Source organism: Homo sapiens, chromosome 7 (genome assembly GCF_000001405.40).
Source record: "Homo sapiens chromosome 7, GRCh38.p14 Primary Assembly".
NCBI lineage: Eukaryota > Metazoa > Chordata > Mammalia > Primates > Hominidae > Homo > Homo sapiens.
The window spans coordinates 139601558-139625151 of record NC_000007.14 but is presented as its reverse complement, the minus strand read 5'-3'; the positions used below and the strand labels follow the sequence as shown (position 1 = coordinate 139625151).

At 42.9% G+C, this 23594-nt stretch overlaps 1 protein-coding gene and 1 long non-coding RNA gene across 14 annotated transcripts in view, besides 1 other annotated feature; one reads left to right on the top strand and one right to left on the bottom strand.

The window, feature by feature from the left end:
- Positions 1–23594, top strand: part of HIPK2 (homeodomain interacting protein kinase 2) — a 216429-nt gene that overhangs the window by 152847 nt on the left and 39988 nt on the right. For 7 of the 13 annotated variants that reach the window (NM_022740.5, XM_047420264.1, XM_047420261.1 and 4 more), the window contains 4 exons: positions 4589–4751; positions 10659–10866; positions 11829–11950; positions 20929–21071. In NM_022740.5, the coding sequence (NP_073577.3) occupies positions 4589–4751; positions 10659–10866; positions 11829–11950; positions 20929–21071 (636 nt within the window). The remainder of the gene's footprint in view (positions 1–4588; positions 4752–10658; positions 10867–11828; positions 11951–20928; positions 21072–23594) is intronic. The other 6 variants (XM_047420265.1, XM_011516080.4, NM_001113239.3 and 3 more) reach the window with 3 other exon arrangements.
- Positions 4202–4261: an enhancer, noted in NCBI's record as "active region_26765". NCBI's record gives its function as "activates an Ori minimal core promoter by ATAC-STARR-seq in GM12878 lymphoblastoid cells {active_cell/tissue: GM12878}" and the evidence as "EXISTENCE:reporter gene assay evidence [ECO:0000049][PMID:35858748]".
- The window catches only part of LOC105375530 (uncharacterized), a 30021-nt gene continuing 16025 nt past the window's right edge, over positions 9599–23594 (bottom strand). Inside the window, exons 3-4 of the long non-coding RNA XR_001745383.2 lie at positions 10895–11039; positions 9599–9689 (exon numbers count right to left, since the gene is read on the bottom strand). This is a non-coding gene — a long non-coding RNA (uncharacterized LOC105375530). The remainder of the gene's footprint in view (positions 9690–10894; positions 11040–23594) is intronic.

Genomic DNA, 23594 nt, shown 5'->3' with positions numbered 1-23594 from the left:
GAGCACAGGGATGGGCCAGTGTCATTGGAAGGATAGATGGACGAGGGGCATGTGGATGTCAGCGTATGTGCTGGTCTCATGGAGAAAAGTTGAGGGAGTCCTGTCAGACAGCTTCTGCTTCTCAGAAGTAGGCAATGAGGTTATCTGTTGAGAACGAGGTGGAGGGTGGTTTAAGAAGGGTAGAAAGTTTAGGTAGCTGGAGCAGAAGGTGGCAGAGCAAACTGACCAGAGAAATACGGTGGAATTGTTGAGCCCTGAGGTTCGACATGAATCGTTTATAGTGTAACTCATCTCCCCAGGTGAAGGCATAGAGAAGACAGATGAGTCTTCTGATCTAGGTTTGTCCAGGTGGAATTTTTGCCAGGCTGGTAAGAGAAGAAGACAGATTGACAAGGAAGCTGATGAGGCTAGCCAGAGAGTAACTGTAATCCAGAATGATGTCTATTGGAGACTTTGCCCAAAGGGAAAGGAAGTGAAGATGGGAGGGGATCCAAGTAAACGTGGTGTTCTGGTCAATGCAGAGAAGGGTTATCATAGTCATAGTGGAATGAGCCAGATGGAGGAAGAATGTGGCTGGGAAAACAGGATGCTTAAACTTGTAGTTTCTGGAGGTGGAGCAATTTCAGGTTTGACGGTCCAGGGAATGAGTGGCTGTACTGGGTTGAGAACAAGAGTCACTGGACATGAGAAGTAAGCGGGAAGCCAGGGTATTTAAAAAGGGACCTGTGACTTCTGAAGCCTTCCTAGCGAGGCAGGGAATGGCTTGGAGAGGAAGGTCCAGCCAGTGGCAAAGGCCTCAGTGAACGAAGGGGAGAGGAAACGAAGTCATGGCCGGTTGCAGTGGCTCACACCTGTAATCCCAGCACTTTGGGAAGCCAAGGAGGGCGGATCAGCTGAGGTCAGGAGCTCAGACCAGCCTGGCCAGCATGGTAAAACCCCATCTCTACTAAAAATACAAAAATTAGCCAAGCGTGGTGGCCGCACTTCTGTAATCCCAGCTACTTGGGAGGCTGAAGCACAAGAATCGCTTGAACCCAGGAGGCGGAGGTTGCAGTGAGCTGAGATAGTGCCACTGCACTCCAGCCTGGGCGACAGAGCGAGACTCCGTCAAAAAAAAAAAAAAATAGGAAGCCGTTGGTGGATGGGAAGGTAATGGAGGGTCTCACTTCAGCCTCTCAACCCTGAGGTACTTGGGATGTAAAAGAATAAATAATCACATCCTACGTCTGCAGGGAAAAGGGGTGTGCTCAAGAGAGCAGCAGATTCTATAAGGATCAGGAGGGGAAGGGAATCCTGTGAGAAGAGCCTGGAGATGTGAGAATTGTGCGTATCATGGCGGGCCCTGCTGTCTCCAGAGTCAGAGGGGGCTGGGTCTCAAGGCTGGACCCGCCCCTTTCTGGCCTACAGGAAGTGAGTGGGTGGCACCACCATGGATAGTGGGGCCTCCATTTCATTTCTGTGCCTTACTATCAGTGAAGCAAGTCAAATGGCATTGCAACAAACAGATAGTGCCTCTTTAATGTAAAACCATGCTTGAAACAACTGAACTCCGGTACAAAGGAATCTGGACCCATCCCTCCCCTACTCTTGTTATGGGATTTGTCCTTTTTTTCTTTTTTTTTTTTTTTTTTTTTGAAGTAGAGTCTCACTCTGTTGCACAGGTTGGAGTGCAGCAGTACGATCTTTGCTCACTGCGTCACTGCAGCTTCCACCTCCCAGGTTCAAGCGATTCTCCTGCCTCAGCCTCCCGAGTAGCTGGAACTGCAGGCACACGCACCACACCCGACTAATTTTTGTATTTTTAATAGAGACAGGGTTTCCCCATGTTGGCCAGGCTGGTCTCGAGCTCCTGACCTCAGGTGATCTGCCCGCCTCGGCCTCCCAAAGTGCTGGGATTACAGGCGTGAGCCACCGTGCCTGGCCTGGATTTGTCCTGTTTCTGAGTGCCATAGGGGTCAGCCACAGAGCTGTCCATCTGTACCACAAGAAGAAGAAAAGCAGACTTGGCAATTTACTGGATAGGGCTCCCATGATTTCAGTCTTTTGATATCACGGGTAAAATGGGATGACTGAGAAACAGCTACGGATAGGAGACTGAGGATAGGGGTGCCCTCTACAGAGGTCCTCTTAGCCGTCTGCACCAAAACAGTCAGATAGTCACCCCCATAAAGCCTGGGGCTTTAATGACCTCAGAGTCCTTCCACCTCTGGGTTCTGTAAGGAAGAATCAGTAGAGTGTTTCACGGCTTGGTCACATGGAGACCGTGAGCATCAGCAACCAATTCAGAACTTCATCTGGGACCCAAGAGGGGCACTGACAAGTCAGAACTCAGAAATTAGCCTAAGAAGGAAAGGTGGGTCTCTGAACACACCTAGGCTTGCCTGAAAGTAGGCCTGATCCCTAAAGTTCTCTAGAACTTGCTGGGAAAACCTTGAAGAACTCCAGGGCAAGGATAAATCTCCAGGCCCATGCAGCTGTAGCGCCCCTGCCCTGGGAGCTGAGCCACAGCTACTGGATTACTAGGTGAAACAGACCCCACTCCTTTCTCCATACCAGGATTCCAGTGCACAATTTTTAAAAAACCAATCTTCTTATAAACCTAAAGTGAAAGGACTTGCCCTTTCCTAAAACCCAAAACTTGAAATATTTCAGTTGGAAAATTCTGAAGGGGTATGGAAATTTTGTGTTGAATTGTCACGAAACCAAATGCTTTAAGCCCATTCCAAAAAGAATATAAAATGCATTGGTTTTATGCTGCAGCCTCCACGCACAAGACCTTGGTACTTAGTAGGAGCTGAAAACACACTGGCATTAACAGCATTATTAGGAGTATTTTTACCTACTGGATACCGCAGAATATGTTTTCTTTTCTCTTCAGCATCATCAGTCCGTAAATGGTTATGTCGTGTGCATGACGCAGCCAGTGTAAGTGGTCAGAATCTTAGAAAGAAGTAGGACTCTCTAAGTCGCGTCTCAGTCAGTCATTTGAAACTTGGAATGCATTTTTCACAGGATGTTTGGGAATAGCCCACAGACACCTGCTTAGCCCCAAAGATAGCATACCCACAGAGTACTGAAGTAGTACACGTTTGTAATCCTAAAATAGTAGAAAACTTTTATTTTACTCATTCAGTTATTACATTTTTTATAATTAAAATAGACATTTTGAGTTGAAAATTAAATGAGTTTTTTTTCTTTTTCTTTTAATTTTTTTTTTTTTTTTTTTCCTGAGACAGGGTCTCACCCTGTCACCCAGACTGGAATATAGAGGCCTAATCATGACTCACTGTAGCCTCGACCTCACAGGCTCAAGTGATTCTCCGACCTCAGCCTCCTAAGTAGCTGGGACCATGCGCACGTGCCACCACAGCCAGCTAATTTTTATATTTTTTTTGTAGAGAATAGGATCTCCCTATGTTGTCCAAGCTGGTCTTGAGCTCTTGGACTCCACCCACCTTGACCTCCCAAAGTGCTGGGATTAAGGCGTGAGCCACCCCACCCAGACTAAAAGGGATTTTATTATCTTGAATATTAGCATTTGAGGAAAAGTAAGTTTAACTACAAGAAATGAATGAGAAGCGCTGTATAAATTCTGAAGGACACTTTTTGGTCGATTTTCAAGAATTTGGGTGGCTGAAGCCACTTGTGGCTTTCCTTTTCCCTGATGCTGGTTTCAGCACCACTTTTATACTTTACTTTTGTAGTTGGGGTTTTGTTTTGATACACAGATGCAATGGGGGAAGAAAAGGAGAAAATTTCTATTTCATGTAGCTGGACAAGACTTAGACAAGAAAATGAAGGCTGAAGTTGGTGAAAGAGGACGTATGTGTATACACGAAGGTAGCCAGTGATTACCTATCCTTGGCAAACTCCCTACCTCCCTAAGCTTCAGCCTTACTCGTGAAGTAGGGACGAGAATCATGTCTCCGTCTTATGGATGTTGCCGGACCGAGTGAGAGGTTGCAGAGTATTATTATTAGGACACTAATAAATGTTAACCACTATTATTAATTATTAGTATTATTACTGTTTCCATTACCTACCTGCACAACCCCTGTGGGAGAAAGTGTGGCAATAGGGTCACCATACTGGGTTGGAGAGTTCCTTGGCCGTCCCCTAGGTGGTGCTGGTGACCCAGGGTAGCTGAAGCAGGTGACTACAAGGGTTGTCTTTGGGAAAGGTGGAGGCGGGTTATAAGTGACTAGTTAATGTTCCCATTCAGAGAGCTTATACATTGGTTTGTGGGCCAGAAACCAGGCTGAGAGTTGAGAATGAGCAGTGATGCTGCAGGTGGACCTGATGTGAGAATGCAGTGTGAGCAGTCAGTTTTGTTGTGATATATAGAACCTATATGGAGAAAGGGTAGTAGGGCACTGGAGAAAATTCATCTGAATAACCGTGCCTGTTGCAAATGCACAGGCTTTGCACAAGCAATCCAAGAAACTTAGACCTAAAGTTTAGTTTCCCTGCTTGTCCTGTTTACTGAATTAACCCTTCTCTCCTTTCCTTTGTTTTCTCCCCTTCATCCCACGTTACCCTCTTCCCCTCCCCTTATGTCTCAATATGCCTCTGCCTTTTGCATGAACAGCGTCAAATCATGTTTCCAGAACATGGAGATCTGCAAGCGTCGGGTGAATATGTATGACACGGTGAACCAGAGCAAAACCCCTTTCATCACGCACGTGGCCCCCAGCACGTCCACCAACCTGACCATGACCTTTAACAACCAGCTGACCACTGTCCACAACCAGGTAAGTGGGAAACAGAAGGGAAGGAGAGGCGGGGCTGCACAGTGTGAGCCTCAGGACTTGTATTTTCCATCATACCTAGTCAGGAGGCAAAATTCCTGCTGTCATGTTCAACAACTAAACAAAGTATTTGCATCCAAGGTTATTTCCTTTGAGGGACCCAGGCACATTTTGTGTTGACTTCTGGCCCCATTGACAGGTCCCAGAAAGGACTGGTGAGGGCCATTCTTTCTGAGATGGTTCCCCTTACTGCTTTCCTCTGTCCTGATGTGGGAATAGGGGGAAGGGGGTGCTATGATCCTTTTATGCCTGATATGTGCCTGGTAAAGAATTCTAGAACTGGCCAGGCACAGTGGCTCATGCCTATAACCCCAGCACTTTGGGAGTTCAGGGTGGGAGGATCACTTAAAGCCAGGAAGTTCAAGAGTAGCCTGGGCAACACAGTGAGACGCCATCTCTACAGAAAATACAAAAAATTAGCTGGGTATGGTGGTGCATGCCTATAGTCTCAGCTACTCAGGAGGCAGAGGTGAGAGAAGTGCTTGAGCCCAGGACTTCAGGGCTACAGTGAACTATGATTATGTCATTGCACTCCAGCCTAGGGGACAGAGTGAGACCCCGTCTCAAAAAACAAAGAAAAAGATCATGGAAACATGGATTTAATCTAAAAAAAATAAAGATTCTAGAACTGGGAAGGACTCAGGGAATCACCCAGTTCAGGCCCTTCCCCTCGTCCCCACATGGCTGGATCTACCTGATCTCCTTTTGGGACAGATAAACCCTGTCCTTTCTCCGAGTCATGGAGAAAATCAGTTCATCAGCCTGTCACCAGAATCCCAGCAGCTGGAACTAAATGGGATCAGGAAGCTAAGGTTTTCTTCCCACAGATTTCCAGGAAATTGGCAGAAGGAGCAGCTAACATACTGCTTGAAACTTGGATGACACCCAGGCAATATTTATTGAATGAATAATCTCCAAGTCTGAGCTGAGACTGCCTCTAGTGTCTAAGAAACTGTAACTCCTACTCCCATCTTTCAATCCTCCTAGTTCCCCTAAAGAAGGGCCCCCAGATTTTTGTTCTTAATATCAATCTGGAATGAAAAGACTTCTGTGTGGATGTGTGTGTACCTGAAATGTGAATACCTTATGTCCATTCTTTTTGAAAGGTCCCTCCTGTCACTGAAGAGTCACTGCCCCCTGCTTTTCAGCCGCTCCCCTTCCCACCCTTTTCCCCTAGGCCATCCTTGTGGCACATTGGCCTGCTCAGGCCTAGCTTTTCTTCCCAGCCTGCCATCTCCCTTTGCCCAAATTCTAGGAGACACCACCTGGTATCTGCTGCCCTCTGGGGGCCGTTTGCATTCTTGAAGCTCTCCTTAGGGTGAAAGAGCTGTTGGGAGTCCGAAAACTAACCTTGCCCAGCCCTAAGGCTAAAGCATCCATAGCCAGACCTGTGAGCTTCTTGACAAAAATCAGCATGGTTTTGTTCATTACCTCCTTGAAGACATTTGTTTCTCCCACCAGCCCTCATGAGGCACCTGGTCTTAACTCCCTAACCCCAAACTACCTGTCCCCATCTAACATCTGCCCCATCAGGTATCAAAGGCATCTGTGAAACAGGAGGAAGGAGCACCCCTCCAATGCAGGCGTCATGTCAAGTGGAGTCTCCCCAGCAGGCTGTCCTTCCCATGGATGTCTTTCTGCCAGGCTGGAGAACTGTGGTCCCTGACCAGACGCGGGGTGGGGGGCCACCGCCATCTTGCTGGTGATATGACAGCCAGCATATCCACTCCAAAGGGTGTCGCAAAGACTCTGCAAAACTAAAAGGGTTGCTCATCAAAAGGCAGTTGTCAAATAAGAACACCCGTCTTCTCCACGGCACTGAGACCATCCAGATCTGGCTTGGGACTGGGGTGAAGTAGGAGTAGCTGGTAACTTAGTGTGATGCTTGGGCCAGAGTCGTGGGTAAGGGAAAATGACATCCCACAAAAGCAAAGGGTCCAAGAACAGGATTTCTGTTCTCTTGCATTGGATTCTACTACTCCCTACTTTTGAATACATCAGGAAAAAAAAATTACTCAGGACACACCTAGCCTTAAGCACTAAGGCATGCTTTCCCTCCACTGATACTGTTGTTATTAAATAACATCATTACTAATAGCTAACACTTATTATGTGCCAGGCTTTACTAAGCGTACCATAACTCTTAATCCTCCCAGCAACGTTGTGAGATAGGTTTTATTATTATCATTTCCATTTTAGAGGAGGAAACTGAGGCACCGAGTGATTAATTCTCTTACCCAAGGCCCTTGCTCGTTCATGAGAGGTGGGCTTAGGCTTTGCAGCCAGCAATCTGGCTTCAGAGTCTGGACTCTTAAAATATACATACACAGCAGCATAAGTAAGTCTTAAGTAAGTCTTATGGAGGTCCCCAAATGCCTTTCCTAGGTGATGTCTGCTCTTTAAATCCAACAAGACTTCTTCTGTTCATTGCTGGTTCTAGTAGCTAGCTTTCTACATGAGCTCCTTGGAGCTGTTTGCCCATTTAGATATTTAGAAGCAATACAATATATGCATAGTTTTATGTTAGAAGTTGAAGGACATTAAACTACTTAAAGAATCTCTTGCTACCTTTAACATATATCCAGTAGACTAACCAAAGAACCATTTCCCAAATGATCATGAATCTACAATCTTTTAGGTCTCAAGGAAGCTGGGTCAATAATTCATAACCCGTTAAGTCTCAAGGCAGCTGACTTCCTCTACTTTCTAAAACTTTCAGGTTACCCAGTTGGTAACATGTTGAATAATAAGTCTTCTCTCAGCTATTCCTTGTTTATCATGTGGATCAGCAACTTCTCTAACATTTCCGTGGAATTCTATTATTTGGACCTAGCCTTCTACCAAGAATTTGAATTTGAGTTTATAGACCAAGCTCAAACCCCTTCCTTCTGGAACCATTTGAACGTCTACTACAACTGCTTCCAGGAATCACTTCTTCCATTTTTGGAAAACCTGTGTCATCAATAAACTTGCTTTTTCACTAGGCACAGTGGTGCACACCTGTAATCCTAGCTATTTGGAAGGCTGAAGTGGGAGGACCACTTGAGTCAGGAGTTCAAGTCCAGCCTGGGCAACATAGCAAGACCCCAGTCTCTGATTTTTTTTAACTTGTTTTTTCTTGTTATTACTATCTGTCAGCTGCAAGAGCTCTTCCCAGTTCTCTGTGTGCTCCTCTCTGGCAAGTGATAGGCTAGCTACCTTTCTGAGAGCTAAAGGAGGATATACAGAAGTAGAAAACTTTTTGTTGCCCTCACATGGGCTTCTTCAACTGGTCCTTAAGCAGGGTTCGAAACTAGGGGAAAACCTTATGCATGTCTGATGGTCACACTGGAGACTGGGTCCATATCAGGACACAAGTGCCATTTGTCCTTGAGTCTACAGAGCTGGAAGATTCAGCCTCTCAAGGAGCTCATGGTCTCCATGGTGAGACAGGCTGTAAGCAAAAATAGTTTAATCAAAATGCAGAATAGCATGTACTAGGGGCCAGGTAGACAAACAGATTATGTGTTACAGAATCGAGAGGAAGGAGAGACCACTGCAGGCTGGAGGAAAACACCACTAAGACACAGCCCCTCCCTCCCAGGAGACTTTAGGCTGGAAAGACCAACTGTACTGTAAGGCAGATTGTAACAGGAGCTGGGCTAGAAGGCTATATTGTACTGTGTGATAGCAAAGGAAGGAGCAATTCATTTCCATTAATGGTGTCTGAAAGGGTTTCACAATGGGGCATGTGGGACCCAGGCTAGGCCTTAAAGCCCAAAGGCTTGGAGAGAATGCTATGGGTCAGAGAGCTTGTATGAAGGGAAAGGCCTGTGCTCACAGTATGCTTGGAAAACAATGAGTAAACTAATCTTGGTGTCAGAAGAGTGGAGAGCAGAGGGAGATAAGTCTAGAAGGTAAGGTTGGCCAAACCAGGGAAAACAGGGCACTAGACCAGGCGCATACCATGTTCATCAAGCTGTAATTGGGATTTTGGAGCAGGGGTGCTGACATGCACAAAGGTGTCTTGTGGAAAGAATGATCTACCCTCTGTGCTCAAGAAGGCTGGAAGGGAAGTAGAGACCAGAACATTTCTAGTCAGGGCCTTATAGGTCCCAGGCACCAGGAAGTCACAACTGAAAAGAGTCAGTGGATTCCAGGGACATCAGGAAGGAAGCAGCAGCAGGAGCAGTGGCTGGCAAGAAAGTGGAACCACCGAGCAGAAGTTTGGGAACCTAGAGGATACAGGTGCCAGGACCCCCAGCAGGGACACCCACAGGGGCTAAGGGCTGGGGGGAGTCTAGATATGAGCAGACCATGGGGAATGTGGAGGGTTGAGGGGGAAGAAGCCTCCGGAAGAGATCGCGATATGGAGAAAACAGGAAATACAAGTCATGTCATCTGACAAAACACAGACACTGATGCCCACATATGTACACACGTGTCCCAAGCAGACTATGCGACGCTGCAAAAGCACACCCACTTTAAAATATGTGGCTTAAAATCAGACATCTGTGCCACTCAATTTCGTGATTATTTTCAAACAAATCAATTTGCTTTGCAATGAAATTTAGCACAAAATCTAAGTATAGAAAACATATGTAAAATAAGACTTTGTCCTTTTTATCAAATGTGACATCCATACACACCCTACTTGAAATTCTATTTGTGTCCAAGATATCTTCGTGGTTTCTTCCTATGTATTCCCTGGTCCTTGTAACTTCTAGAGGCAAAACCTCTTGTAGACAGTGCTGAATGTGAAACCACTGGTAACCACCTATCTTGCTAAAGGATCAGTATGAAGGCTAAGATAGGGGAAACTGGAGAATTCCAAAGTTGGAATTTATTTTCCTTATACAGCCTCATTTTTCATGCAAGTTCAGTCTCAAGTGATGTCTTTTTCTGAAAAAGAAAGGCAAGAGGACATAATGTCAATGGCTTGTGTTTGTCAAAGCCACCTCCATTTCAGTTATCTGGACACACCAGCATCTTTTCTATCTGCCAGGCTTTGTCACTGCATACCAACATGAATGCATGGGATGCAGACACAAAGCCCCAGGCTCAACATGTCCCTCTCCCTCTCTGCATACATCTCCTGTACTTCTCTAAGCTTTGCAGCCATCTAAGGACATCTGTAAACAGTACTGCCCATAGTCCTGAGCCCCTCCTCGGCCCTGCTCTCCGCCTGTTGCATGTGCTCCTGTGCCAAGCTCTGGGTACTGAGACCATAGTCCTTTAGGGCCTGCAAGAGCCTCCCCCTGGATTTGTCCTCCCACATGTGGACTGCACCCACCAGGCCCGAGGGGAGTGTGAGCAGAGCTTGGACGTGCAGGCTGGCAGGTCCAGGCACCCAGAGCTCATCATGTTGTGGGATGGAATGGGGCTTGGGCAGAGAGAAGGAGGGCAAGGTCCAGCTCTCTCCCTGTCACCATGTGTCAGCACAGAACCCAAGGAATCCCATAGTCCTCAACTCACGCCTGGTCTTCCCGGTTATTGGGAAGGTGTATTTGTCAAAATGAAAAGGCAGAACATTTTATTAAACAGTTTTCTAGCCTAATTTTTAGCCTTTTCAGCATTTAGACATGGTAGCAGGCATCCGTGTGTCCTCTTGTCTGGGCCTCACAAATGCCAGGAGCAAGTCTGAATGTGAACACCAAGGTGACTGTCTCCCATGTTTTCAGGGACCTGCTTTTCCCTGCGACTTTCAATCGTGTTTCCACTCCTCTCTGCTTTTGCCTTTCTGCTCTTAGTTTTTGTTTGTTTGTTCTTCTTTGAGTTCATTTATTTGATTTAGATTCGTGTCTCCCAACATGCCACCTCCCTCATTTTTTATTTTTGTTTATTTTTGTTTAATCCCCATCACTCCTTTAGGCTCCCTCCTCTACCAGTGCCACTATTTCCTTAGCCAATCCCGAAGTCTCCATACTAAACTACCCATCTACACTCTACCAGCCCTCAGCGGCATCCATGGCTGCAGTGGCCCAGCGGAGCATGCCCCTGCAGACAGGAACAGCCCAGATTTGTGCCCGGCCTGACCCGTTCCAGCAAGCTCTCATCGTGTGTCCCCCCGGCTTCCAAGGTAAGATTGAGCAGCCACAGCCTCTCACCTGCTTCTTACAGAACGGCCTCTGGGGCTCCGGCACCTGCAGTTTTCTGTCACGCTCATTTTCATGGAGAAAGGCCCTCCTCATTTCTTCCAGTGAGAGCGCTGGTATCACTGAACTAGAGGGCTCCTCTCCTACTGTGGCCAACCTAGAAACAATAGGGCTTATGCCTCAGCACCAAGTCAATCCTTTGTGACTCTCACACCTGCCAGGGACTGTGTCCCTGGCCAGCTGTCTGTAAATAAGTACATAGTTTGTGCTTTCATTGTTATGCTGATGTCAGCTCTTGCTTTTCCTCGCATGAAATATCCTCTGTGTGGGTTATCTGTAGAAAACTGCCAATCTCTGACAGCCGACATAGTCCCAGCTCCCATGAAGAATATCCATCAGTCTGAAAAGTACTTCCCTGGGACCCCTCCTCAAAACAATTCTTTGGCCATGACCCCAGCACTCCTCTCCTGTAGACTCTAAGAAGCTAGACTGTGTACTTTGTTACAATTTACCCAGAAAGCTTAAGAATTTATTTTTGCAAGCCTCATGGTGTAAACTGTGTGGTTACAGTCAATGCAATTCCAAATGGGTTCATACATCTCCCCAACACCCCTCATTTTGACATACACAGGTACATCTTGATGGTCAGAAGCCCTTGTTTTCCTGTTGTAATCTGCGAGCATATCTGTCCTACTTTTGGCCTTACAGCCTCCTTAATCTGACCTTCTAGCCTTTGAAGACATTCAAGATTTCAGGAGGAGTTTTGTTTTTTAATTTGTTAGAAGCCAAAGGGGAGACTTCCAAGGACCAGGCAATACCTGGTTGTTGTCAGTGACCAGTGCAAAGGGAAGCAGAAAGTTGACATAACTGCCCAGGAAGGTTCTTTTCATCCAGCTGTTCACAGCGTCTCAGCTAACCCTTCTCTCCCTCACACTGTCTGGAACAGGCTTGCAGGCCTCTCCCTCTAAGCACGCTGGCTACTCGGTGCGAATGGAAAATGCAGTTCCCATCGTCACTCAAGCCCCAGGAGCTCAGCCTCTTCAGATCCAACCAGGTCTGCTTGCCCAGGTAATTCTTTCTCCTTTATTATTACTGGTATTACCATTACCTGTGTTAATGTTGTTCACAAAAGATATATATCTCCACTCCCTCTCTCCCTAGTAATGAGTTAGGTGCTTCTAGTCATTGGAATGTATCTGTAATATTCTAAATGGTCCCCAAGTGAATTACCTTCCTAAGTATCTGCTTACAATTCCAAGAAGAAATTTAGATACAGGGAGAGTCTGGGGAAATTATTATTATTATATCTTTGAAATGCAAATTAATCTGGGATACCTAGGTTTTAATCCTAACTGCTAGTAACTTGTCTATGACCTAAGGCAAGTCAGTTAATATCTCTTTGCCTCAAATTTCTTTCTTGTAAAATAGAAATGAGTTTTTAGAGCCAAAAGGAGCCTTGGTGATTATCCTCTCATTTTATAGTTGAAAAACCAGGCTCATGGTTACTGTAAGCTGGAACCTTCTATCTCTGTATCCATGTAGGTGCTCTGATGGTAGAATGAGATGGCAGAGATGAAAAATGGTTGAAAATTTGTAAAGTGTTATGTAAACGTAAGGTAACAGTAGTGATGCAATGATAACAGTAACAATCCTTAATGACACTCGAACCCTGATAACAAATACATCATCATTATACCAGGGCACTTTACAGTTGTTAATTGATTTAATCCCCACAATGCCACAGTATTTGTCTCCATTTGACAAATAGGGAAACTGAAGCAGAATAACTTGCTCATCAGAGTCACACAACAATTAGGTAACAGAACCAGGACACACACCCAGTAAGTCTGATGCCAGCATCTGTATTTCAACCACCAAGCTATACTACTTCTGTATAATCATTTCTACTATTGAGTAGCTTGACCTAAATGTTATTAGTTTAGAAGCAGCTTTATTTTTAAATAAGGTAGGTTCACAAAGGCTTTTCCCAAAGACACTATTTGTCCTGTCTTGTTAAATGGAAGTTGTTTTTGTTGTTGTTTAATTTTTAATTTAAAAAATTAAAAATTTAATTTTTATGTAATCAAATTGCGTAGGTTTGTTCTGTGCTCTTCTATTCCATTGGCTTCTCTAATATCCTGTTGTCTTAACCATTGTAACTTTAGTCTGTCTTGGTATCTAGTAGGGAAGCCCTGTTCCCAGAGAGTTCTTCAAATTTTCCTTGTCTGTTCTTGTCCCTTCATGTTTTTAAGTGAATTTTAACATCACTCTTTCATAAGAATTTTAGTTACAGAAACCAAAAATCTGCTTTATATTTACTGGATATACATTGAATTTATATTTACTTCAGGAACAACTGACATCTTTAAACGTGTAAGTCATTTTTATCCATGAACATGGTATAACACTCTGTAATGGGTGTGGTGGTGCACACCTGTAGTCCCAGGCCTGTAGTCTCAGCTACTCAGGAGGCTGAGATGAGAGGATCACTTGAGCCCAGGAGTTCAAGGCCAGCCTGGGCAACATAGTGAGACCCCATCTCTACAAAAAAAAATTAAAAATTAGCTGGGCATGGTGGCACATGCCTGCAGTCCCAGATACACAGGAGGCTGAGGCAAAAGGATCACTTGAGCCCAGGAGTTTGAAGCTGCAGTGAGCTATGATCACATCATTGCACTCCAGGGTGGGCAACAGGGTACGACCCTGTCTGTAAAGAAAAAAAAAAATTAATAGAAACACTTTATCATGTTTAAGTTTTGTAATGAATATTGAATTATATCAAATGTTCTTTCTGTATCTATTAAGACACTCATATGCTTTTTGTTCCTTAATCTACTAATGGGACAAGTTATATTAATATATTTTGTAATATTAAACTACCCTTTTATTTATGATATAAACTCCATTTGCTCATGTGCTTGATATGATATGCTTTTTAATATTGGATTCAGTTTGTAAGTACTATAGTTAGTATTTTTATATCTATGTTCATAGGTGAAAAATGGCATATAATTTCCCTTTTTATAAAATCCTTATCTGATTTGAGTACAAGGTTACACCAGGCTCATAAAATATCTTCTTCTTGTTGTTACCCACACGAGTGGGTTTGGTCACTTGACAGGTACCAACCCAATGACCACAGACAAGGATTTAGCAAGGGGATTGTATTACTTGTAACAAGTAAGGAGAACACTGGAGATAGTTCCCAAAGCAGTGTCTCTGAGCAAAGGGCTGGGTCAGGTTTTATAAGCATAGGGTAATGAGGCATGATCTGATTGGATCTTGCAACGAATTGATATCAGAGGCATGATCTGACTGGATCCTGCCATGCAGTGATGCCACAGCTCGATCTGATTGGATCCTGGATCCTGCCATGTGGTATCCATTTCTAAATTCCATTCACTCGCCTCAATCCAGGCACTTAGGTTCTGCCTGTTGTTACATACCTGGTTCATCTGGGCATGCTCAGGTTATGTGACCTTTAACCTGTGGATCCATGGCAAATGAAAAACAACTCACAACTTTGTTACATAAAAGTTGAACCAGACTGCTGTGGTTACATTATTATCTATTCTGTTTTCCGGAACAGTTTGTTTAAGATCGATATGAAGTATTCTTCATCTCTGTGCTTAGGTCCAGAATGACACTGTGCAGTTGACCACTAACACCAGTGACTGGTAGCACACAAAGTTTTGTCTTATTGAAAGTTTGTAAACAGAGAACTTTTTGTATTTAAAACAGGCCTTCTCTTCGTTCCTCTCTCTCCAATGGGTCCTTGTAGCTTCCTTTTATTTGCATAGTTCAGTAGCGGGGAGTTCAGAAAAGGCCAAGATAGATCAGAGAAAGAACTACAGCTCAGTCCAGGGGCAAAAAAGCTTCTTCATACTTTATCTGAGTGGCAAAAATCCACACCAGTCTCCCAGTGCTCCGCCTTTGTGAGCCCAAATCTACAGAACTCACGTGTGCTTTTAAAGGATAATTACAGATCTTTTTTATGTTTGCACACTTAACCCTAGTAAGCCAGGAGCCATCTCTGAAAGAAATAATAATTAGCATTTCTTATTAGCCAAAATAGGGATTCTTCGTTGTTCAGTTTGGTGGAACCAGTAGACTCAGCAGTCAGAATTTGTTTCAGTCCTTTAATCGTAGCAGGGGAGAACTTTACCTTTTGCTTCCTTGAAAGAGAGTCCCTAGAGTGTTGTAAATCTCCAAGTAGATTTAACCTAAAGCTGTAATTAGGAAAGTGAACAAAAAATACGTGTGTAAGGATTTTAATTGCTACTGTGTTTATAACTGAGATTGTTGGAAGAAACTTGAATGTTCGTCAGTAAGGGATTGGTTAAATAAGTTGATGCACACGTAAAATGGAACACCATGTAGCCATTAAAAGAACATGGTAGACCTTTGTGTCTTGACATGCAGAGATTTCTAAGATATATTAAGTGAAAAAAATCCTGCCCTATCCAGTATCGTGTTGTGTCTTTTTGTCAGTTGCTTTTTATTTTTCTCTCTGCTTGTCACTTAATCCATGCCAATATGTTAGCCTGTTGAGATGGGCTCTCTCCTAGATATTTTTAAACATTCCCTTCAAAGGACAAAAATAAGTTAATTTATAAAACTCTTATGGTGGCTATAAAAAAGCACAATTAAGCATTTAAACTGAAGGCTTCGTTTTTCTACAGTTAAATTTCTAGGCACCAGGCAGAGGCATTCCAAATCCTATTATTTGACATAAATGTATTCAAAAAGTTGACATTGTTCTTTTTCTCTAAATACTGAAAATCTTTTAAAGGATTTTACTTATGAACACTTAGAGATGGAGTCTTTGAATCCACTCCTCATGTTAATTTCATTTTCTTTGCCCTTTTCCTCCCCACCTCCCAGCAGCATCACATAAAACTTTCAGGGAAACAGGCCTCTGTGGGGCACCCAGAGGATGTGTGCATGGCAGGTGGAAATGGTAATCATTCTGCTTATGTTAGTGATATGGGAGTGATCTTTGTGGATCACCTTGCAACAAAAGCTTTTTTGGTACTGCCTAAAAGGAGCTGTCAACTCCATCCTCCCAAGCCCCATGCCACAGCTAGCATCTTGGCCACCAACAGAAATTGTGAATGAGTAGGTAATAGTGGAGAGATGGGAAGCACAGTTCTTGATTGAGACAGTATTGAATTTATCTGACTTGTCAAATGTCAGGATCTAAAATCTCCTTTGACTAGCAGGGTTAGAGAAATCACTGTAGACTCCACCCTTCCATGAAGTGTTTTGTGTTCTTCTAGCCAATCAAATCATATCACCTGAACCTCTTTATTTTTTACTTATTTACTTTATTTCTTGGGCTCATATTTGACCAACTGAGCCTTTAAATGTTTCCCTGAAAACAAACTGTTGGCTTGAACCCTTTAAACTGTTCGAAATACAAAATTTTAATGTTTCTCACTCAAAAGTTCCTCTGATAACATTTTCAGCAACCAGTCTTTCCAACCATTGTCCTGCTGTCTGCCTGTCTCTTGACTGGCACCTGATATTCTTAGAGAATAAGGAAGACTTGTTCATGCCACCTTTATGCAGTTACCACCAATGCCTGATCCTGAATAGGGGCCATTATTTTTGTGTATTATCAACACAAGGAGAGGTGTATATTGGCTGAAAGCATGGGCACTGGAATTAGGTTGCCCACATTCAGATGGCTGCCTCACCACTTACTGGCTATATGGCTTTGGGGAAGTTATTTTTGAAATTTAAATTTAATTCCTTTTCAAAGTAATACATGTACATAATTTTTAAAAGTTAATTAATACCATAAACTTATAGGAAAATTATAGTCCTCTGCTCTATCCCATCCTTAATGTCTCCTCCCCATAACAATATATATAGTTACATTATATATGTATATATGTATATATATACACATATATATTATCCCTGTTATATATATATTTTATATATATAATATATATTATCCCTAAAAGTTTTTATTTATACACACACACACACACACACACACACACACACACGTATTTTTTTGAGACATAGCCTTGCTCTGCCACCAGGCTGGAGTGCAGTGGTGCAATCTCAGCTCACTGTAACCTCCGCCTCCTGGGTTCAAGCAATTCTCGTGCCTCAGCCTCCCGAGTAGCTGGGATTACAGGCATGTGCCACCACGCCCCGGCTAATTTTTTTTTGTATTTTTAGTAGAGACTAGGTTTCAATGTGTTGGCCAGGCTGGTCTCAAACTCCTGGCATCAAGTGATCCACCCGCCTTGGCCTCCCAAAGTGCTGGGATTACAGGTGTGAGCCACTGTGCCCTGGCCATAACGATAATTTTTAACTTAACTGTTTAATCTGTTCTTTAACTCTGTGTTTCTAAATAATATGCTTAGACTGCTTTTTATGGATTTTTTTTTCCATTTTAGGTATTATCCATTGACTTCCTATTATGGAAGATGAAGATTTAGCTTTCTAACCCACTGCCATCCCCATAACACACACAATTTCTCTCCTGTTCCTCCTTTCACTCACTCTTTTCTCCTATTCCTCCCACATAATTTTGATTCAACTACTTTGTAATATTTACATAATTATCAATATTATATAATATTATTCTTAGTTGAGCCTTATAATATACTGTGATTATGTTTTCTTTCTAACACATCTTTTTGTTTTTCCTGGAGTTAATGATTGCCTCATTTTTCCCATTGGGTTAGTTTTCTGTATATCTCATTATACAGCCCCAAACCCTTCCAGAGCTATAAAAGGTTTGTATGTTTGATGTGTTGATGTGTTTGAGCACACTGATCTCAGTATGTTGTTTTTTCTTTCTCTGAAAGCGACTTTCTCCTCATCCACAGTGGACTCACATTTCATGACTACATGCCTTCTTTTGGGTCTTTTTTCTTACATTGTCCTGAACACCCTATTTGCCCTTTTAATCTGGATTTTTTTTTTCCTTTGATAATTTCTTCCCCTCCATTTTCTCTGTTTCTCCTTTGCAGAATTCTTATTAATTGAGTGTTGGTACTTCTAAATTGATCTTCCGATTTTCTTATCTTTTTTTCCCCTCTATTTCCTATATATCCTCTGTCTGCACTACTTTCTAAGAGATTTCTTAAACTTTTTTGAAACCTCCTTTTGAATGGTTAATTTCTGTTGTTGTAGTTCTCATTTCCAAGAGTTTGTTCTCTGCTCCCTCCATACCAAAAAAGAGCATGTTCTCTGAATATAGATATTGATTCTTTATATGATCTTGTTTCATGGATATATTTTTTAACTCTGTAAAGGCATTAATTATAGATTTTAGAAAATTTTCTTCTGATTCCCACACTGTTTTTGTTTCCTCTTTCTTTTGTTTGCTTATTTTATTCTCTTTCAGGTTAGAGGCTTCCTTTACTGTCTGGTGATCATTAGCTATTCATTCCTATTTAAGACTAAAGCACTAAAAAACTAATTGGAAACCTGGAGGGTAGGGGAGAGACTATTGAATGTGGGCTTCTCTATAGACTGAAAAGAGGCAAGTCCAGCATTTTCACTGACAGATCCCCTGATCCTTAAATGTCATATCTGTAGTTATTTTCTCTTGGACTAGTCATTTCCCCTAGAGAGAATTGTCTAGCCTCCTGCTTTGGGGCGGGGAGTGGAGGGTGGTATAAGCATGTACACCAAGGATCTGGGAACTAAGGGGAAATGAAGACCTGATCTTAGATTCCTTCAGTCTGTTAATTCACTTAGTAATTGTCCATCAGTTTTTCAGCTTCTAAAATTTTATTCATGGTGATTGCCTCTCTCCTACTCTCTTTGCCCTTATGAATCTGTATTTTTTATTCCTTTACTATCATTTTAGTTGAGTGTAAAGAAGGCAATAAATGTATATGTTTAATTTACCATATTTCAGGGCAAGTTATTAATATTATTAACCTCTCTGTGTCTCAATTTATTAATCTTAGAAATGGAAGAAAATAACAGTCCCTACCTCACAGAACTGGTATTAAGAAGTCAGAAAAAAGAAGTAGTCAGAAACTCATTTATGACTTAACTCTGTGTTTGGCACACAATATCCATTAAGAAATGTTCACTTCATTCTTGTTAGTAGTAATAAATTATAAAAATGTCTGATGAAGCGTTGTCACAAATGAGCCAAGCATATCAATCAGTGAAATAAGTCAAAAATAGTCTTTCTACCCTATCTCTTTGAGGTAAAATGTTAATATCCATTTCAGGGAAATAGAAGAAAAATGATAACCTTAGCTTGATATCAAGATTTATTTTTTAAATGACATTAGTTAAAACTAATGCTTTTCATGAGCTCTGAAATGAGTTCCAATTGGCTAAGTCAGTAGAAACCTTACTGCAAACGAAATTGTTATTTATTTAATATTTGGAATTTGCAACTGTTTTAATCAATTAAATTATGTTTCCGCTTTCTGTGAGTTAAGTAAACCTGAAATACAATTAACTGTAGTTAATAGCGTTGGTAGAGTTGCTTCTTTCATTTTATCAACAGATATTAAGCACTCATGGTATGCGCATGGTCCCTGAGCTTCTGCCTATATCAAAAGCAAACAAACAGTATCAAAAACATCTAAGAGATTGCACTGGGCCTCAGGTGCAACATGAAAATAACGGAACAGGTGAACTGGTCCACTCAGCTCTCAAATGTGATTCTCTCATTTTTATAAGCGTCAATGTTTTTTAGGCCCTGACTCAAATCTGTAATCCATTTCCAGAATTGCGTATTTGTACCTATAAAACACCCACACTGAGCACATGCACAGTTTGTGAAGCACTGCATTCGATAAATTACCCAATGTTAGTCACATCCACTCTGATAGAAAGAGAGATGGCTAAGATATCAAACCTTTAAATATTTGATCTGTCCAAAAGGTATTTTACCTTAGTGACTATGCTTTAAGTGTCCAACTTTAGGCAGTGGTATTCAGTCTGAATCATCTAATGACCAAAGACAAGCAGAATAGTGATCATGGATTAAAAGAGCTTAAAACACAACATACACACACACACACACACACACACACACCAGTGAATCTATCAAGGAAGAATCACAAACGTTCATTTTAGATTTCTTAGAAAAATTAGGTTCAAGCAGTGACTTCCGCCTCTCTCTCATTTTTGCTTTGAGAAATCAAAGTAATTCTCAATTAAGCTATAGTCACAGCTAAGAATTTTACTTCATACTTGCTTGCTCTCAGATGTAGGTTCCAGATATTTGGTGATCTTAGAATTGTGTAAACTTAGATTCAGAAGATAACACAAGCTGGAACCTAGATTCTAATTGATAAATCAAAGGTAAAATGTTAAATAAAGGATACTAGGCAGAAAGCTTCTTGAGGGCCAGCGGTCACCCTCATCTAGCTCAACTCAACTACCCTAATCCCCTGTACATAGTTGTGGGACAGAACAAGTAAATAAATAAACTTTCAGAAACTTCAAGCATTGCTCATTAGAGCAAATTTATAAAGAAATCATTCTTCAACATGAATGAATCCCTTCCATACAGCTGTGTCCCTGTACTTAATTATCTTCTACTTAGTTCATATATGTTCTTTTTTTTTTTTTTTTTTTTTTTTTTGAGACGGAGTCTCGCTCTGTCGCCCAGGCTGGAGTGCAGTGGCGCCATCTCGGCTCACTTCTTCAAGCTCCACCTCCCAGGTTCATGCCATTCTCCTGCCTTAGCCTCCCAAGTAGCTGGGACTACAGGTGCCCGCTACCACGCCCAGCTAATTTTTTGTATTTTTAGTAGAGATGGGGTTTCACTGTGTTAGCCAGGATGGTCTGGATCTCCTGACCTCGTGATCCGCTCTCCTCAGCCTCCCAAAGTGCTAGGATTACAGGCGTGAGCCACTGCACCCGGCCTGTATGTTCATTGTTTATCTCCCCTTACTTTAGTTTTTGAGGCCAGAGACCAGGCCCTCACTCTCACACCCATGAGAATGTCTAGCACAACCCCAGGCACAGAATAAGTGTGGGTTCATGCAAATCAATTATGTGATTAGCAAACATGGTCATTGCACATGTCCTGTGTTCTACAGCAGGCTTGGCCAAGTGGGACCCAGCAGATCCTGCTTCCCCCAGCATGGCAGCAACTGACTGGAGTGGCCACCCACACATCAGTGCAGCATGCCACCGTGATTCCCGAGACCATGGCAGGCACCCAGCAGCTGGCGGACTGGAGGTAAGCAGGAAACCCCTCTAGGGTGAGTGGGTGTGTCTGGGATGGGAGGCACGTCCACTGCCAACACAGGGCTGCCAGGCTGGCCTGTACTTCAATTCCCCGGTTTGTAGAGAGCTTTTTAAAGCTTCTAAAAATATTGTGTGGACTATGAGTGCAGGGTAACAAGAAGCAATTTTTAAATAATATACCAGGATACAAGAAAATCAGTTTCATTAATTTATGCTTGGTTGTCATTTCCACCCAGAATTCAGTTATGTCATTTACTCATCAGTGTAATTCACCAGACTTGGTTCTGGATGATGTTTGGTAGTTTCTCAGAATTAAATTCTACGTTCAGAAAACAAAGGTCTGTCACCAGTGAAAGAATGCAGAAGAGGGTCCCCAAAGCCCTAAGCAATTCTAGAAAGTGTTCTGAAGATGTTTGAGACGGGGGTACTCTGGAGTCTATCTGACCTCCCACGGGATGGCTTGACAGAATGGGGTTTATTTGGAAGGGTAAATGCTGGCATGTTTGCTGAGTGTGCCTCTTCAGTTAATAGTCATATCTTACAGATCAGAGTCTACTTCCCACACACCCCAGAGGCGTCCACCTGACTGCCTGCCAGCACAGCATACCCCCTGCATCTGTTTCCAGAACTCTACCCTGCCCAACTCATGATTTCCTCACAGATGCGCTCCTCTGTTATTTTTATGGCTAGATACCCTTGTACCTTCCCCCGAACACCACCACAATGGCCCCTTCACCAGTGCAGAGCCAGATGGCAACCCTCCAAGTTGTCCCCAACTCCTCATGGCCCTATTGGGCTATCTCTCATTCTGCACGAATATCAGGACAGGTCACTCCCCTCAACCCCCTGACAGCCTCCATATCACACAGGGAACCTCCCACAGTTCTTATTCTGACCTACAAGGCTATTGTGAATTAAGATCTCTCCGAGAAAAGAAGAAAGGTGGTGATATAAGCCCCCAGTCAGACCCCTACTGCAGCTTCCTCCATTCCTCCAGTTCATTTTCTGCCCAGTACAGAGTACCTGGGCCCTTCCCCACAGTCCCACTCACTTCCCTTCTGGCAACGCCCTCATGCCACCACTCCAGCCTGGGCAACAGAGTGAGACTCCATCTCAAACCATGTAGAGCTGAGTTCAATCCTGGCTCTGCATGACCTGGGGCAAGTTAACCTTTATGCACCTCAGTTTCTTCTTCAATAAAGTGGGGATAGTAATGCCTGCTTCACAGGATTGTTGGGAGGTTTAAAGTAAGATAAAATACAAAGCACTTGGCCTATATTTAACATGCACCATCGCAGTGCCCGGTACATGACAGGCATTAAATAAACCTGTCATCTTCCCTCCCCACTATCACATCGGCCCATGCTCAGCAAGATTGCCTTTCCTCCTCCAGCTCCTTAGGAGCAGCCGAGTGGAAAGCTGTCTGACCAACTGGGTTTTTTTTTTTCCCTCGCCCCTTTTTCTCCTAAAAGACCACACACATGACATATTCCTTTTTTTCCCTTTTGTCTTTCAGCATTTATAGCTCATCTAATTTCAGAAATACACATACACTTACTAATTCCTACATATTTTCTTATTCCTCCTCCCTCCTTCCTTTCGTTTTGACATCTCTTACCTAGTGACCACAGGAGACATCTAAAGCCAGCATACTCTCTTCCTGGTCTCTCTCCATTTCATGTGTGAGCCAAAGAACATCTATTATTGTGGCTAACAAACAGAAGTACCAGTGCTAGGCCTGACTCAAAAGAGAAAGAGTGCCACCTGTCTACAGGAGAAAGAGCTACAACAAAATAAAGAAGCCATAATATCAGTTTCTTGGTCGGATGCAGTGGCTCACGTCTGTAATCCCAGCACTTTGGGAAGCCAAGGCAGGCAGATCACCTGAGGTCAGGAGTTTGAGACCAGCCTGGTCAGCATGGCGAAACCCCGCCTCTACTAAAAATACAAAAATTAGCTGGGCGTGGCAGTGCACGCCTGTAATCCCAGCTACTCGGGAGGCTGAGGCAGGAGAATCGCTTGAACCCAGGAGGCAGAGGTTGCAGTGAGCCGAGATCGCACCACTGCACTCCAGCCTGGGCAACAGACTGAGACTCCATCTCAAAAAAAAAAAAAAAAAAAAAGAAGCCATAATATGAGTTTCTAAAGTCCATGTAAATGCCCAAAAGGCGCTATCAAAATCCCTACAAAAGTGTTCATCTACTTCTTTTTTCCTGTTCATCCTTTTCCCCATGTTGCAACAATAGGTTCTTATAATTTTCTAAAATTCAAATGAATTATCCTTTAGCTTTGAATTTTATTATGTGTTAAATGAGCTCTTATGGGCCAATCTCTGAGTCAGTCACCACCTTTAACATTTCTGTGGGAAAACAAGGCTTTAAGCTTCATACAACCCAAATTATAAGAATTGTGAAACATAACCCGTTTTTAGGATGAGGGCTGCCAGTATTTCTATCATGACTGTTATTAATTTTGATTTAATACCAACTTTATACTTGTCTAGTCAACCTTCAGT